The sequence below is a fragment of the Homo sapiens genome, chromosome 4 (assembly GCF_000001405.40).
Source record: "Homo sapiens chromosome 4, GRCh38.p14 Primary Assembly".
Lineage (NCBI taxonomy): Eukaryota > Metazoa > Chordata > Mammalia > Primates > Hominidae > Homo > Homo sapiens.
In genome coordinates this window covers 6,864,752-6,880,098 of record NC_000004.12, presented here as the reverse complement: position 1 = coordinate 6,880,098, position 15,347 = coordinate 6,864,752, and the positions used below count along the sequence as shown (strand labels likewise).

At 46.7% G+C, this 15,347-nt stretch overlaps 1 protein-coding gene across 24 annotated transcripts in view, besides 1 other annotated feature; it reads right to left on the bottom strand.

The window, feature by feature from the left end:
- The window catches only part of KIAA0232, a 101,438-nt gene that overhangs the window by 4,066 nt on the left and 82,025 nt on the right, over positions 1-15,347 (bottom strand). For 12 of the 24 annotated variants that reach the window (XM_047416446.1, XM_047416442.1, XM_047416444.1 and 9 more), the window contains 3 exons: positions 13,836-13,907; positions 8,417-8,525; positions 3,342-3,439 (listed from right to left, as the gene is read on the bottom strand). In XM_047416446.1, coding sequence (XP_047272402.1) covers positions 3,342-3,439; positions 8,417-8,525; positions 13,836-13,907 — 279 coding nt within the window. The remainder of the gene's footprint in view (positions 1-3,341; positions 3,440-8,416; positions 8,526-13,835; positions 13,908-15,347) is intronic. The other 12 variants (XM_047416450.1, XM_047416453.1, XM_047416452.1 and 9 more) reach the window with 3 other exon arrangements.
- Positions 5,881-6,040: a silencer, noted in NCBI's record as "silent region_15239". NCBI's record gives its function as "represses an Ori minimal core promoter by ATAC-STARR-seq in GM12878 lymphoblastoid cells {active_cell/tissue: GM12878}" and the evidence as "EXISTENCE:reporter gene assay evidence [ECO:0000049][PMID:35858748]".

Below are 15,347 nucleotides of genomic sequence, written 5' to 3'. Positions count from 1 at the left end.
CAGTGACACAGTACAGATGGTGAGGGGACACTGCAGACCTCTGTGTTGGGAAGGGAGTTTGCAGTGACACAGTACAGATGGTGAGGCGACACTACAGACCTGTGTGTTGGGAAGGGAGTTTGCAGTGACACAGTACAGATGGTGAGGGGGCACTGCAGACGGGTGTGTTGGGAAGGGAGTTTGCAGTGACACAGTACAGATGGTGAGGGGACACTGCAGACCTGTGTGTTGGGAAGGGAGTTTGCAGTGACACAGTACAGATGGTGAGGGGGGGCACTGCAGATGGGTGTGTTGGGAAGGGAGTTCTTTGGAGAAGAGGCCCGCTCAGCTGAGAAGCCAGCCATGCAGAGGTGCCAACACTCTGTGGTGTCGGACTGTCTCCCCTACACCAGATGGTCAGCATCTCTGGACCCCAGGACATGAGATGCAGTGGTGGCCCCTCCTCAGTCACAGTCATTACAAAGCTCCCCTCACCCTGCCATAGTAACTAGCAGCACTCCCACCTCATTTCCAAATGGCAGCATTGCCCCTGGTTGAGAACCCCTGAGGCAGAAGCACAGAAAAGCCACACAGAGTAAGGGGAGAGCAGAGACAGATGAGGTCAAAGGCAGACGGGGGCAAAACATACAGGGCTGTAGAGGCGTGGCGGGGAGTTTGGATCTGTCTCAAATGCAACAGCAAAGTGACATCATGGTTAGCAGTATGGGTCCTAGAGGCAGACTGCTGAGGTTCAGAGTTCAGGTCCACACTGAAGCTGTGGCTCTCTGGCCTCGGATACACGGCGCCTGATGTTTTTGTGCTTCACTTTCCTATTTTGCAGAACAGGCATGACAACAGTACCTACCTCACAGGGTCGTTGTGAGGACTGAACAAGATACTGCTCGTGAGGTCATTCTGTCTGCTGTGTGGAGAGAAGGCTGGAAAGGATGACGAAAGCAGGAAGGACAATGAAAAGACCATGGCAGCTGTTCAGGAGCAGGGACAGTGGCTTGAACAAAGTGGTAATGATGGAGAGGAGGAGAAGTGGGAGATGCGAAGTGGCTGACAGCGGGGAACGGTCAGGACTGGCAGGCAGACTGTGTGTGGAAGATGAGAGAGAGGACTGGGGAATATGTCTCAGTTTGGGGTTTGAGGCTGGAGGGATGATGTGAACTAGTCACTGAGGAGAGAGCTGGTGGGGGCCTCAAACATCTGCCTTCATGTGTGGAGCCGGACAGGTCAGTGGGCAGCAGGACGTGGACGATGATGCTACAGGTGCTTGGGCAGACAGTTCTCACAGGACTTGAATGGACACTGACAGATGGTTAATACTGAGTGTCAACTTGATCACATGCCGTGTGATTCAAGTTAACGGGAAACTACAACAGCCCAGTCCAGACAGGATACAAATGGCTCAGACTCTTTAGGAATGAAGGTTTAGGTCACTCCACCGGGAAAAAACCACAACCTGCTGAGGTGCTTGCTGAAGGCAAAGGGAATACAGAATGGGTAGTAGAAGAAGGTAGTCATCAATACCAGCTACGACCATGTGACCAGGTGCAGAAACCAGGACTGTAATTGTCTTGAGGAGTATTTCCTCCTTCGTTAAAAACACGTTTGTGCATGTATACACTTGTACTAAGAAAATCTCATTTTATTTTTTGTCCTTTATCATGTGACACAAGATTTATGTATGTATATATTTATGTATGTATGTATGTATGTATGTATGTATGTATGAATGAATGATGGAGTTTTGCTCTGTCACCCAGGCTGGAGTGCAGTGGTGCGATCTCAGCTCACTGCAATCTCTACCTCCTGGGTTCAAGCAATTCTCCAGCTTCAGCCTCCCAAGTAGCTGGGATTACAGGGGTGCACCATCACGCCCGGCTAATTTTTGTATTTTTAGTAGAGATGGGGTTTCGCCATGTTGGCCAGGCTGGTCTTGAACTCCTGACCTCAGGTGATCTGCCCACCTTGGCCTTCCAAAATGATGGGATTACAAGCGTGAGCCACAGCGCCCGGCTGACATAAGATTTATTGACTTCATATCAGCATTTAAGTATTGTTAACTCTATGTAATAGTACTTGGGTTTGGGATTGGTGCTTTTCCGGTTGTATGAAGCATAGCTGTATTATGTTAGGTATAATTATGACCTTATTGTCTTTATTTGAAGATTACATATAATTTCAGGAGATGTGTATGGGTTCAAATTGACAAGGGGTGGACTTGTTATGGTTAATACTGAGTGTCAACTTGATTGGATTAAAGGATGCAAAGTACTGATCCTGGGTGTGTCTGTGGGGGTGTTGCCAAAGGAGATTAACATTTGATCCAGTGGGCTGGGAAAGGCAGACCCACCCTTCATCTGGGTGGGCACCATCTAGTCAGCTGCCAGCGTGGCTAGAATATAAAGCAGGCAGAAAAATGTGAAAAGACTAGACTGGCCTAGCCTCCCAGCCTACATCTTCTCCCATGCTGGATGCTTCCTGCCCTCGAACATCGGACTCCAAGTTCTTCAGTTTTGGGACTGGGACTGGGACTGGCTCTCCTTCCTCCTCAGCTTGCAGATGGCCTATTGTGGGACCTTGTGATCGTGTGAGTTAATACTTAATAAACTCCCCTTTGTGTATATATATACCTATTCCATTAGTTCTGTCCCTCTGGAGAACCCTAATACACTGACAATTCACACCAAATAAAAAGAATTTTCCTTAGGTTCATTTGCCTGCCTGCCTCTTAACCGGGGAAGGTCTAAGACGAGACTAAACCAGGCGGAGGCCCCGCTCCCGCCTTCGTGGTGCCCACAGGCTTGTGGAAGAGGCAGACATGCAGAAACGGAACGCAAGTACATGCTCTGGCTACAGCAAGAAGAGTCGTGCACAGAGTGCAGGAGGACACGGAAAGGGCGGGATCGTTCTGCAGAAGCCGGGACAGCGGCAACAAGCACACTGGCAAGGCTGCCTCAGGGTGCACTTTCAAAGAGGACAAGGCTAGGTCTCCCACTTATTAGGTAAACAAAAAAAAAAAAGATGAAAAGTGTGCCCACCCAAGGAGCAACAGGGTCAGCTCTGCATTTGTAATGCAATGCCCTCGGGCAGTAGTGTAGAGCCAAGACTGGGGAGAGAGCTGGGGATTCTTCAGGAAGCACTGGCAGTCAACAGTCAAGGGGGTTTGGAAGCGGGGGAGAATGCAGACTCAGAACAAAGGCCAGAGAACAGGAAGTCTGCACCCACAGGCCTGGCTGGTTCCTGGGAGAGGTGGGGTCCACTCACATGACTCCCAGGTTTTTGACTACAGTGACAACTGGAGGTGGTGGCTGTTTGTAAGTTAATGACGAGGAGGAGGACAGTCCACTTACCCTATTAAAATCTAACAGGCGCTCTTCATTACTGGGTGTCTCTTTAGCATCTGGATATTCTTCTAAACCACTCTCTCCCTTGGCATTTGTGTAACATTCTTAATCATTTGGAATGGAGAAGGGAAAAGAGGGAAAGGGGGAAATTCCATTAAGACACAGTTATGAAACATACATTCTTGTTTCATTTTTCACTAAAAAGCTACATCAGTTAGGTCTCCCAACCCTTCGGAGGTTTTAAGTCGTCACTAAAAGCACAGCCAGGCAGGTGTGTAAGAGAAAAAAAACGCTATGCTGACAAAAAATTCTTGGTTTGGTGAGTTAAAAAAAGAAATAGGCCAGCATAACCATACACTCCTGTTATTCTACCAGGAGGCACTCATTGGACAAGCTTCTATTCACACCTGTAATGTGATCGGCCCTGGGAACACACGACAGAGAGACCCACAGGGCCCATGCTCTCCACAACAAATGGATGGAGGAGACAGATGGTGCATCATAGCACGTTCATAGGACAGAGGAACAAAGGAAGCTCAGACAGAAGGGAACGCAATGGAGAAACGACACAGGGTCACGTCCTTGTGTGTTCTTCCTCAACAACATACTGAACCATGTATCACATCTATGAATAGGAAAAAGAAATGGTGCTAGCGATTCCATCAGGCAAATGGCCCCACAAAATGGGAAAAAAACTGGGATGAGAAGATATCAAACAAATCCAACGAGCCCAGTAGTTCTCAACCCTGGCTGCATATTCTCATCATCTGGGGGCTTTAGAGAGGCTTAGACTCCTGCCAGAGATTCCAAATGAACTGTCCTGGGCAGGGGCTGGGCACTTTCTGAAAAGCAGATTTGCTCCCAGGCAATTCTAATGCACTGAGAACTGCTGGTCTTCATCCAGAACAGCCTCTTACTCCCCTTACCTCCATGAGAAACATAGCTGGGGCAGAGGCACAGTGCAGAGTAAAAGGAGGAACTTGGCCAGGGTTTTGGACTCTGGCATTGACATTCATGGTGCATTAAGTCCTTTAACACCCTTGAGCATCTACTTCCTCAAAACCAGATCACACCCCCCATCCCCTGCCACAGAGTTGCCACAAGGTAGTTTGACGAGATGACATGCCTGCCCCTTGCACAACACCCCAAAGGACAAGGCTGGAGCAAGTGACTGCTGCGCCCTTCTACCTTGGCACAGAGTAGCGAGGCTGTGCCAAGGGTAAGACCATCTGGGCCCTGCTGGGCTGCTTCCTGCAGCTGCACTGGCCACATGGAAGACTCTCCACAGCTGTTCTCTCTGACGGCTCCAAGAACTCCAAGTTACTAGTTGAGGTTCATGAGAATACCCCAGGCTCTGGGATTAGACAGACTTCAGTCAATTCCAGGTCATGCTATTTACTTGTGATGTAACTTTGCACAAATTATTTAACCTCTTTGAGCCCTAGTATCCTCATCTCTAAGATGAGAACATCACCATTTTCCCTCCTACATTTCTGTGCAAATTCAAAGAGGTGAAGCCTCAAGCACAGTGCCGGGCACACACATTGCACCCATGACCGCTGCTTATCAAAGCCATAGGCTTGGAGGCGTGGTTGCCCTAGGGCGGCTGGGGAGGATGCCATGTGTCCTCTGCTGAGGCTGGGAGGAACCCTGGCTTCATCTCTCCTAAGGAGGCATCTTTTCCTTGGCTGACTTCTCACTCCATGGCCCACTCCATATGGCCACCACTTATACTGGCTGAGGGGCATGGAGTGGATAGGACATGGTTTCCTTGACAAGGATAGCTCAGAGGCAGGCAGGCCCATCTCCACACCCCACTCCTTCATTTTCTCTTCCTGCTTTAGGAATTCTGTACATACAAGAGGGTTTTATTGTGCCACAGGGTATTTGGAAAAGGTGATGCTGAACTGCTGCTGATAGTCTTCATGATGCTCAAGTTGACCACCACCCTGTTTCGGGCTATGACATGCCAGCCACTGTTCTAGGCACTTTACCTTACAATGAGGGCATTCTTCTAGCCTCCTTTTATACATACAGACTACAGAGGCACAGAAAGGCTCAGTCAGCACCCAAAGCCTAATAGCTGGGGAAAGAAGCTCTGGATTCCAATACAGTTCTCAATCCTGGGCCTTTCACCACCTGTCTGTACTGCTTCCCTGCAGGACTCTCTGTCTTTAATGCTAAAATCATCCAGACGCTTACATTACTCGAGTCTTGAAAGCACTGAAAATCCAGGGGCGTGAGCTGTGGAGACTGCTGTTTGGGACGGCACTCCTGGTGCACAGAGTCTACAAGGCCCTCTGTGGTCTGGCTCCCAGCTGCCTGGCTGGCCTCATCCCCACCACACTCCCATGCCATCCCTTCTTTGCCAGTCATGTTGGGGGCATACCCAATGCATTCCTGTCCCTGCACAAGCCACTGCTGCCTGGCACCTCTCCCTGCAGGCAGCCCCAGCTGTCACATGGTCTGTGCCCTATTTCCTCAAGTCCCTGTTGAGAAGGTACCTGAGCAGGGGGAGGACAGGGACACGATCTGTTTGCCTATGCATTCCCAAGTCTAGAACAGTGCCTAACCCAAGTGCTGAAGGGATGCACATATGAATGCGCAGCAAGGCCAGCAGGGGGCAGACTGCACAAAGCTGGGGCTTTCTTATATGGTTACCTGAACAAGCTGCCTCTTTTCTGAGCCTGTTTCCTCGCCTTACTGTAAAGGGGACAATGCTACTCTTCCTTTCCAGAGATGCTGTGAGCTCCCAGGTCAGCCCCTGGCTCAGAGCAGCAACTGCTTGTGATGAATCATATCCAATATTAGAAGCATTAGGAGTCCCCAGCCACTTCTGCTGAGTAGGTAAGTGACTACCTGTTTTCTTGGCTATCCTTCTGAGACTAAATGCCCCAACCCACATAAGCTAAAGAAGGATGCTTCATGATGCTACAGGGCAAATATGCAGGGACTTAACTCACAGTGTGAGCTAAAGGTCATTCAAAAGAAATAATTACCAGTATTTATGCACTGAGAGTTTCTCTATATACCACTTCACTGTAAAAACAAAAATATTATGTACAAACACCAGTATCCACTAAGAGACTGTACAGATAACCAGGAACCTAGAGCTAAGAGGTGAAACTGGATTCTTTACTAACTAATGACAGAAAACTGGACTAAGGGTGCTAAGGTTGCCCTTTACTAAAGAAACATGAACTCTGTGTCTCAAAATCATCCTATGCCACTGCAAGGAATTGGTTCTTTTCCACAAGGTGGCATCCTCCTCTCCCTCCTAGCTCTTCCTGAGAGGTCCTCTGTGGCACAGCTGTGGCCACATCCCACCTTCATTCCATTAACTGTGTCTGTGTCTTGTACTTGCCCAGTTTACCAGACTGGACACACATGAAGGGAAGCTCTGTGTGTCCTACTCCTACTGCCCTGGCATCTACCTTGGTACCAAGTGCAGGCAGCTGCTGTAGAGGGCAAAACTTCTGGACCACAAGAATCACAACCTACATTCTAGCCCATGCTTAATAGTTAACTGTGTGATTTCGGGCAAATTACAGTACTAAACTTGAGACTCAGCTTCCTCATCTGAAAACTAGCGGGGGGCATCTCCTAAGGTTCTTGTGGGAATTATGTAAAAGAAAAGCTTGAGAGCACCTTGCACGCAACCAAGGCTGTCCAGATATGAGCTAATGGTAGGGCGGCAGCAGCAACGGGCCTTCAATAAACGCTGTTCAATCAACGAAGACGCTAACAGTGAAGACTCAGCTCTACGCTCTCCTTATGACCCAGATGAACCTCTGGGAAGGAGGAAGGCAGGGTCCTGGGAAGCTGTCTGTGGCTACAGACCAGAGAACAGCAAACGCTCCACTCCTAAAGAGTCAACCTGGCCAAGCTGGCCTTCCATCCCATCAGCTATAGCCCATGCTGCCGAGGGATGCCAGGGAGGCTTTCCGAGGACAACACAGGCGTGTGCAGGGCATCGTGGCTAGTGAGAGAGAAGTCACTTGGCTCCACACTAACTACAAATTAGCTGAGGGGATGTGACAAACACGTGAACCCGTAAATTTAAATGCAAGAGATTTGCATAACCCCTTCGGGACTCTGACAGGAGACTGGTGTTAAATAAATGTGGTAGCCAATAGAAGCCCAGGAGACCACAATCTGGACAAGCTGAACTTCTTGAGCTAATCAATTCTGGTTGCATCCTTAGTTCCTACTTCTCCCAAAATTTCAATTCAGGGTTTCTTAACAACTTCTGGGTGTCTACCTGGAAGGCCTCACAGACTGCTCATTCAAAAAATACCCTAAACTAAAATCTTCCTCACCGCATCAGCGCCCACTCCTGTCTCCCTCTCTACCTAGACTCCCATAACTACTCCTCATAGAAAGTAATCCAACAAACTCCTCCTCTACAAAACCTCTCGGTCCTGTTTCCTTTTCTCTGTCCCCGCTTTGATTGCCTCAGTCCAGACCTTTAGCGTATGCCTCCCAAACTACTGCAAGGGCTTAAAACCCTGGCCAATAGCCTTCAGTTTTTCAATTCCATTTCCACTCTGTTACTAGAATTGTTCTAAACAACATCTGACCTTGACAACCTCCAATTTAAATCCTGTCAACGGCATTCCCTTCCTGCATGTCAGACGCTACCTAACCTAGCCAAGCCCTCAAACCTTCTGACAGGCTCCTGCCCTGTCTGTCTCTCCCGCGTCAGCTACAACTCAGCTGAGCCATGGAGCCCTGTGCTTTCCCCTGGCGGCGACCCTCCTGCCTCTGTGCAGGCAACTCTCTTCACAGGGACTGCCCGCTGTTTCCTCCTCTGTGACTCAGTGGTGGCTTATACACACCTCATCCATGGTCAGTAACGCTTGGATATATTTCCATGCCTTTCCCCTCCATCAGATTGTGGCTGTTTCAGAGCAGGGCCCAGTTCTCATTCCTCCCTGTGTCCCCAGTGCATGACAAAGTGCTACCCACACAGAAACCTCTTGGTAAATGTTTCTTGGACTGATATTCATAGAAAAAGAAATTATTGCTCTTAACAAATTACAAATTGCAATGAATAAATGAACTAACAAAGGTCTCCTTACCTTCACACTCTGATGCAGGAAAAAGAGGAGAGTACAAGGCTTTTTCCCACCAGGTCTGTTTTTCTTGACTTCTATTCATTCCTTGTATATCAGTGTTCAATACAGGGAACTGTTTAGATTAAACCAAATACAGAAAAAGTTTATAAACTTTCAGGTTAGAGGAAGAATATTCAAGCATTATTAACTACAGATTATAAACCCAGAACTTTTAAACTGGTGAGGTTTTTTGATTTTTCTTTCTTTCTTTTTGAGATAGGGTCTGGCTCTGTCACTCAGGCTGGAGTGTAGTGGCACGATCTTGGCTCACTGCAACCTCCACCTCCAGGGCTCAAGTGATCCTTCCACCTCAGCCTTGCAAGTAGCTGGGACTACAGGCGGGAACCACCATGTCTGGCTCATTTTTTGTGCTTTTTGTAGAAATGGGGTTTCGCCATGTTGGCCAGGCTGGTCTCGAACTCCTGGGCTCAAGCAATCTGCCAAGCTTGGCCTCCCAAAGTACTGGGATTACAGGCATGAGCCACCATGCCCAGCCAACTGGTGAGTTTTTATAATGTTCTGAAAAAAAGTGCATTTTAAAAGCCAGCGTGTTCACAGTGTATAAAGAAAGTATTGCTTAAGAAGTACTTAGATGGGAAGCGACATGAAAATCTTAACTAAAAAAACTCTTACAAGCCCAAAATATAATGTAATAAAAACGCTCCCAAGCAAGGCAAACTTCTAGATTCCCCAAGTGCATACAGGTAATGGGGAAGCCCTGAGCCTTTACTGGCATGAGGTGCTCTGAAGAGAACAGGGGGAACCCTCTTCTCCCTCATACATTCAGGCAGAAGTAAGTAAAAGAAGAAATGGAATCAAAGAAACTTCCTTTTTTTTTTTTTTCCAAGACAGAGTCTCACTCTGTCACCCAGGCTGGAGTGCAGTGGCACGATCTCAGCTCACTGCAACTTCTGCCTCCAGTGTTCAAATGATTCTCGTGCCTTAGCTTCCTGAGTAGCTGGGACTACAGGCATGTACCACCACCCCGGCTAATTTTTGTATTTTTAGTAGAGACAGGGTTTTGCCACGTTGGCCAGGCTGGTCTCGAACTTGTGACCTCAGGTGATCTGCCCGCCTTGGCCTCCCAAAGTGCTGGGATTACAGGCGTGAGCCACCATGCCTGGCCCAAAGGAAATTCTTATAGGCACAGTTATTGACCTAAGTGTCTTAAAATTATCTTGCTTAGGTGCGAACCAGAAGGAAACTAAGGCTAAAACCAAATTACAAATTCAAATTCCATGATTCAAATTTAAAATAGGAGATAGCCATCCAAATGAGATGAGAGAATGATTCCTGAGAGCGGGAGAGACTCATATCCTTCACATCTGGAAGCTGCCCAGGCCCAGAAGAGGGACCTAGCCTGAACCCAGGCTCTGTCCTTTCCCAGTGGGATTCTCAAGTCCTGGCTGGGCCCCGCCCACCTGCTTGGCCAGTGAGAACTGGATAGTGTGGCCAATGGCAGACAGACAACAGCTGTCATCAGTGACCAAGAAGAGTCCTTGTAGTGTGGTCAATAGAAGACCTGTGGCAGCTTCAGTCACCATGTATACCTGGCATGCTGGCAGTCAGGGCAACCCCCTTCAGTGTGCCTTCCTCACTGTGCCTGAGAGAGTGAGCCTGCCCCAGCTCGCCCAGGGTGAGGCTTGGCCACTGCATCTTTCTACCACCCACATCCCCTAATACTGTGTTCTCAGTAGACATCTGCTTAGTGGAGAGGCCTGTGAACACTGCACCCATCTTCATTGTTTTAAAAGACATTTCACTACGTGTTCAAGTTTAAAATCTAAAGTGTTTTAGAAACAAATTTTTCATCAGTTTCCTAACAGGATTTTGTTATGCTTTTAACTTAATTATTTATGGGTCTAAAACTGTTCAATTCCGTAATGAGTGTCTGTTATGTAACTAAAAGGGAAACACTTCAAACTTTTGTTTTCACTTAACTTTTCGGAAACACTCCTAAGTCAGAAACTGAAGAAGAATTGTACTGTCTACCCACAGCAGTCAGTTAACCTTTGCTAATTTCTCCTACAACTTATCCTAACAATAAAAATTGGTACTGCTATTAGATAAACAGATGCTAGGGCCAGGGGAATGGACAGGGCTGGGCTTCCCGCAAACAAGGTGGCACCACGCAAGGCCTGCAGTTCTTCCAAGGTGGCTAACAGCACCTGTCATGCAATTCCCTGCACTCTAAGACCTCTTCAGAAAGGCCTTGCCTGTCCTGTGAGATTACTTAGTGCTACTCAGGGGGAGCAAGGAAGGTGCCCCAGCCAGAACTCTCTCCATCACCTCCCTAAGGCGCTATTGAAGATAAGTGGATTTAGAGGTTAACAGGTTCTTATTTGAGAAAGAAAAAGCTCTTTGCAGGAATGATCAGTTTAAATACACTGCTTATCTTTTCATCCTTTCTTGAGGATTAAGATCAAGAAAGGGAGTGAGTTCATGGTGGGGGATGGGACAGGTCAGGGAAAGCAGGCTAGAGGGGCCAGGAACCTGGGAGCAGGGGCAGCATGAACCAAGACGAGTTTAGATCCCAGCAGAACCCGACTGTAAGCTTCCTGAGGGGCGGGACCACGTCTTCCTCATCTTTGCATTCCCAAGTATGGGGCCCCGCACAAAGCAGATACTCAGTGTCTGCTGACGTGAAGAAAAGTTTCCGCCAGGCCAACAGTCTCTGACTATCTCATACATCATTTCTTCTCTCTCTTGCTGAAACCACTGTGAAGGGCACACCAGTTTCTACCATAAATTTGGGAGTCTTTTTTCTGCATCCTCCATTTGAATGTCAATTCCTATGGCAGGGACTTATTTGTCCCGTTTTATACTAAACATATTCAAGGAATATGCATCTTGTTATGACATCTCTCCACTCATTTATAACTTTTAGGCTGGATCATGCTATATTCATCTAATACATCATCGAATGTATTAATTCAACTTCTGCTGTGGCTGGGAATGAAAAGAATGAAGAGACAATGGAGGAAGCTGAAAGCGGATCAGAAGGTCGCTGTCATGGACAGGCAGGCACAGCAGCGGCCTCAGTGCTGCCCTCCCTTTCCTGCCAGGCATCCTCTCAGCTCACTCTCTTACCTCTAAGTATTTCCTTAAATTGCACCTTGGCGAGGAAGCCTGCTCTCACACCGCCCATAACACAGCAAACTCCTGCCATCACTCCCAAACCCAATGCCCCTCGTCCAGCGATCCTCCTTTCCAACAGCATTTATATTGTAACACACTATATAACTTAACATGTTTATTGTCAGCTCCCCAAGGTGGGATGTGACTCCACCAGCACCAAGAGCTTTGTTACTTATTCCCAGCACCAAGAATAGTACCTGGCCGAGCAGGTACATAAGAAATACTTGATGAATGAATGAAACAGTGAAAAGAAGACATAAACTTAATCCAAAAAGCCTAACCAGAAATGTTTTTAGCAACAGATGTAAAATTGAGAAATTCTTTAGAAGGTGGAAGCTGGGTGAAGGAAACAAAGGCTTCACAGCTGTAAATTCTCACAGAATACTCCTAGTTTGGGTAAAGAGAAAGGTGCTTGGTTTTAGTTTTACTCTGGGAATCTTGCCCCTTTGCCACAATCAGCTCTCATTTGGGTCACACCAGGAAAAGCAAGACTTCCATGTACCTTGTTCTCTGGGAAGGAAGAAATGAAACATCAATGAAGAGATACTGAGTGCAACAGAGACAAACAAGAGACACAGAACTGCTGGTCTAAGTCTTCCTCAGTTCACAGAGGTGCAGAGTGGTGGAAAATGCTTTGCCTGTCCCCCACACTGGGATCTGGGGCAGCTGTCTCACCTCTCAGAGCCTATGTGTCTTTAGAAGTGGGGAAAATAACCTACCGCATGAGGTCTACATGGGCATCCAGTAGGATAGTGGTGACAGAAGCCTCTACATAGATGTGCCGGGTGGCACATCACCAGCATGACCCCTGACCCTCACTCCTTCTTTACTCATCAGAGCCTTCCTGTCCCTCCAGACCTGCTGACCTCCACAGCACAGTGAGCTCCTCTCCTGAGTGGACTGAAATTCCCTGAAGACAGCAAGTAAGCCTTTTGCTTATTTTCTGTGCCTCAAGGTGCTTGGTACTAAGTTGGCAACCAAAGAAACGACAAGAACATTTTCACCACAAATGTATGTCCAGATACCAAGGCACACTGTGCTTCATCTGTGCTACTCTTAACCGTATGGCTTATACTCCAGAGACCGTGAGATCCCTGTTCACAGCTGCCCTGCACACATCAGCAGATTCAAATCTCTTTACCCTTGCTTCTGCTGTTCCTTCTGCCTGGACTGCCCTGCCTCCGTCCTTCTACTCTGGACACTCAGATATGCTCAAGAAACCTTCCTCAACCTTCACAGGCTGGAAGGGTTCTCCTGCAGGTTCCCACAGCATTCTGTGCTCCCCTCCACCATTCTACCTACAGCACCTAAAACTGCATTGGTCAAATGCCCTAAAACATAAAGAACTGACTAGGTAGATTACGGTATATCCATACGATGGAATAGTGTGCAGAAAATAAAAAAAGGAAGGGTGATTACAATAAAGTACCATTTCAGCAAAAAGAAAAAATAGGAAGAAATACATGTGAACATTTACTTGTTAATACGCGCAAAAAATATCCTTGGAGAATACATCAGAACTCACACTAGTGGTTGCCGCTGGGGAGGAAACCTTTCACTGTGTATGTACACATACACTTGTAACTTCTGAATTTGAACCATATGAATAAATTACCTATTTCAGTTAAAATAAGTAACATGGTACAAGTTGGTCATCTTCACTACGCTGAATTCTGTATGGGCAAGGACAAAGTCTTATTCATCCAGGACACCTACTTTAGCAACAGGCATGTAAACAGGTACTCACTAAATGTTTGCTGAATTGAACTAAACTTTTGAAAATAATCATATTATTTTCATGCTCTTAGACACCAGTTCTATCGGAAATCCTACATTTTCATCATCTAAGTCTGAAACAGATGGGGTTCTACTGATCTTTAAACAGGCCTCCCAGATTGCTTCCTGAAAAGACTGTACTGACTCAGGAAAAGGGCCGGAAGCACATCCTCTTAAAAGCACCTTTCAGACTGACCAAGCAATGTGACAGAACAGAAAGATACAGGTTCTAGTCCCAGGCTGGCCCCAAACTGTCCCTTCAGGTCACTCAGCCTCCTGCACATCTCAGATGAATCTATGAAGTAAGCTTCAACCTGGCTTCTAAAGTATAACAATGCTGCCGAGAGAGCAGTGCTGACAACATCTAAACTATCAGACAATCCCAAAATGTCCTCTGGGAATTTTTTTGGCAGCTAAGACCTTTCAAGGAAACCCGGAATTCTGATAACACATAAATACATCAACATACTAGAAAGCGAAGGAATATGGTAGTGGTATGATGTAGAATCTTGCTTCTTTCCTCTTTTTCTTTCTTCCCAATCTGGAACCAGGTGAAATACAAAGTACATAAAGGAATATTTAAGGATGAAAAATGGGGCAATAAACAAACAGATAAAGGCTAACAATATTATTGGGTTTTTTCTTAGCAGTGTTTCAATGGGATTAAATTCATCCTCTACGGGTCTCTAGGTAGCTGATTAGAGCAGTGCCTCTCAAGTCGCCTGGGGGCTTCCTAGAATCACAGGCAAGCAGTCCCACACCTGGGCACTCTGATGCGACAAATAAGTAAGGCATGGTCCACAGCCACAAGGAGCTTATAGTCCAGGATATAAATAACTCATGAGAAATGAAAAATGCAATCAAAAAGAGGCATAAAGTGCATGAAAATTAAGAGAGGGGCAAAATTAATTCTGATGCAGAGTGGGGCTGGAGCAGGGGAGAGAGGGAATTAGGGAAAGTGTCAGTGAAGGAGGTGGTATATGAAATAAGTCTCATGGTATGGGTAGGATTTGGATGTGCAATGGTGGGTAGGGTGTGCAGGACAGTTGGGAGGAAGTGCAACACTCATCTGCTCTCTGGCCACAGGTGGCATGGCTTCTAAACACCTCCATCTCTTTTTTTCAATAAGCTGGGCCGGACGCGGTGGCTCACGCCTGTAATCCCAACACTTTGGGAGGCCAAGGCAGGTGGATCACTTGAAGTTAGGAGTTCAAGACCAGCCTGGCCAACCTGGTAAAACCCCGTCTCTACTAAAAATACAAATAATTAGCCGGGCGTGGTGGCGCATGCCTTTAATCCCAGCTACTTGGGAGGCTGAGGCAGGAGAATCACTTGAACCTGGGAGGTGGAGGTTGCAGTGAGCTGAGATCGCACCACTGCACTCAAGCCTGGGCGACAGAGCGAGACTCTGTCCCCAAAACAAAACAAAAACAAAAACAAAATTAAATAAACTATTTCTGGAGAAAGGCTAGGCACTCACATATCGAAAACAGTGGAAAAATGGGCAGACTGCTGTGCTTTTTTTGTGAAACAGTTTATTGTCTTAAGTGTTATTTCTTGTACAATCAGTTTAACCTTAAGCCATTTCTTGGGCATACAGTGGAGAGGTACAATGACTCTCATTAACACAACTTAATGTGATCCTCATTCCATAGCCTTAACATATAATCCACACAGCTTCTGGAATATGTACTTTGTATAAAGCAAGATACATCTGTATAGGTTCTGTAGAAGAAATTTTGTTGCATTTGGGCTGTGGGTGAATTTCTACATGTACCACAATGTATTTTTGAGAACTCCATAGAGATATAATTTGTTTTATATGTAAAACACAAGTTTTGATAAAGTGATCAACTTCTAAGAGTCAGTTAGACAGGTTTGCTACACTTTAATAGCAGCCACTTCCTGATTCATCAACTTTGAATGTTAGAACACTTTCATGTTAGGTTTTTGCTTTAAGCATAATACATGTATTTTTTTT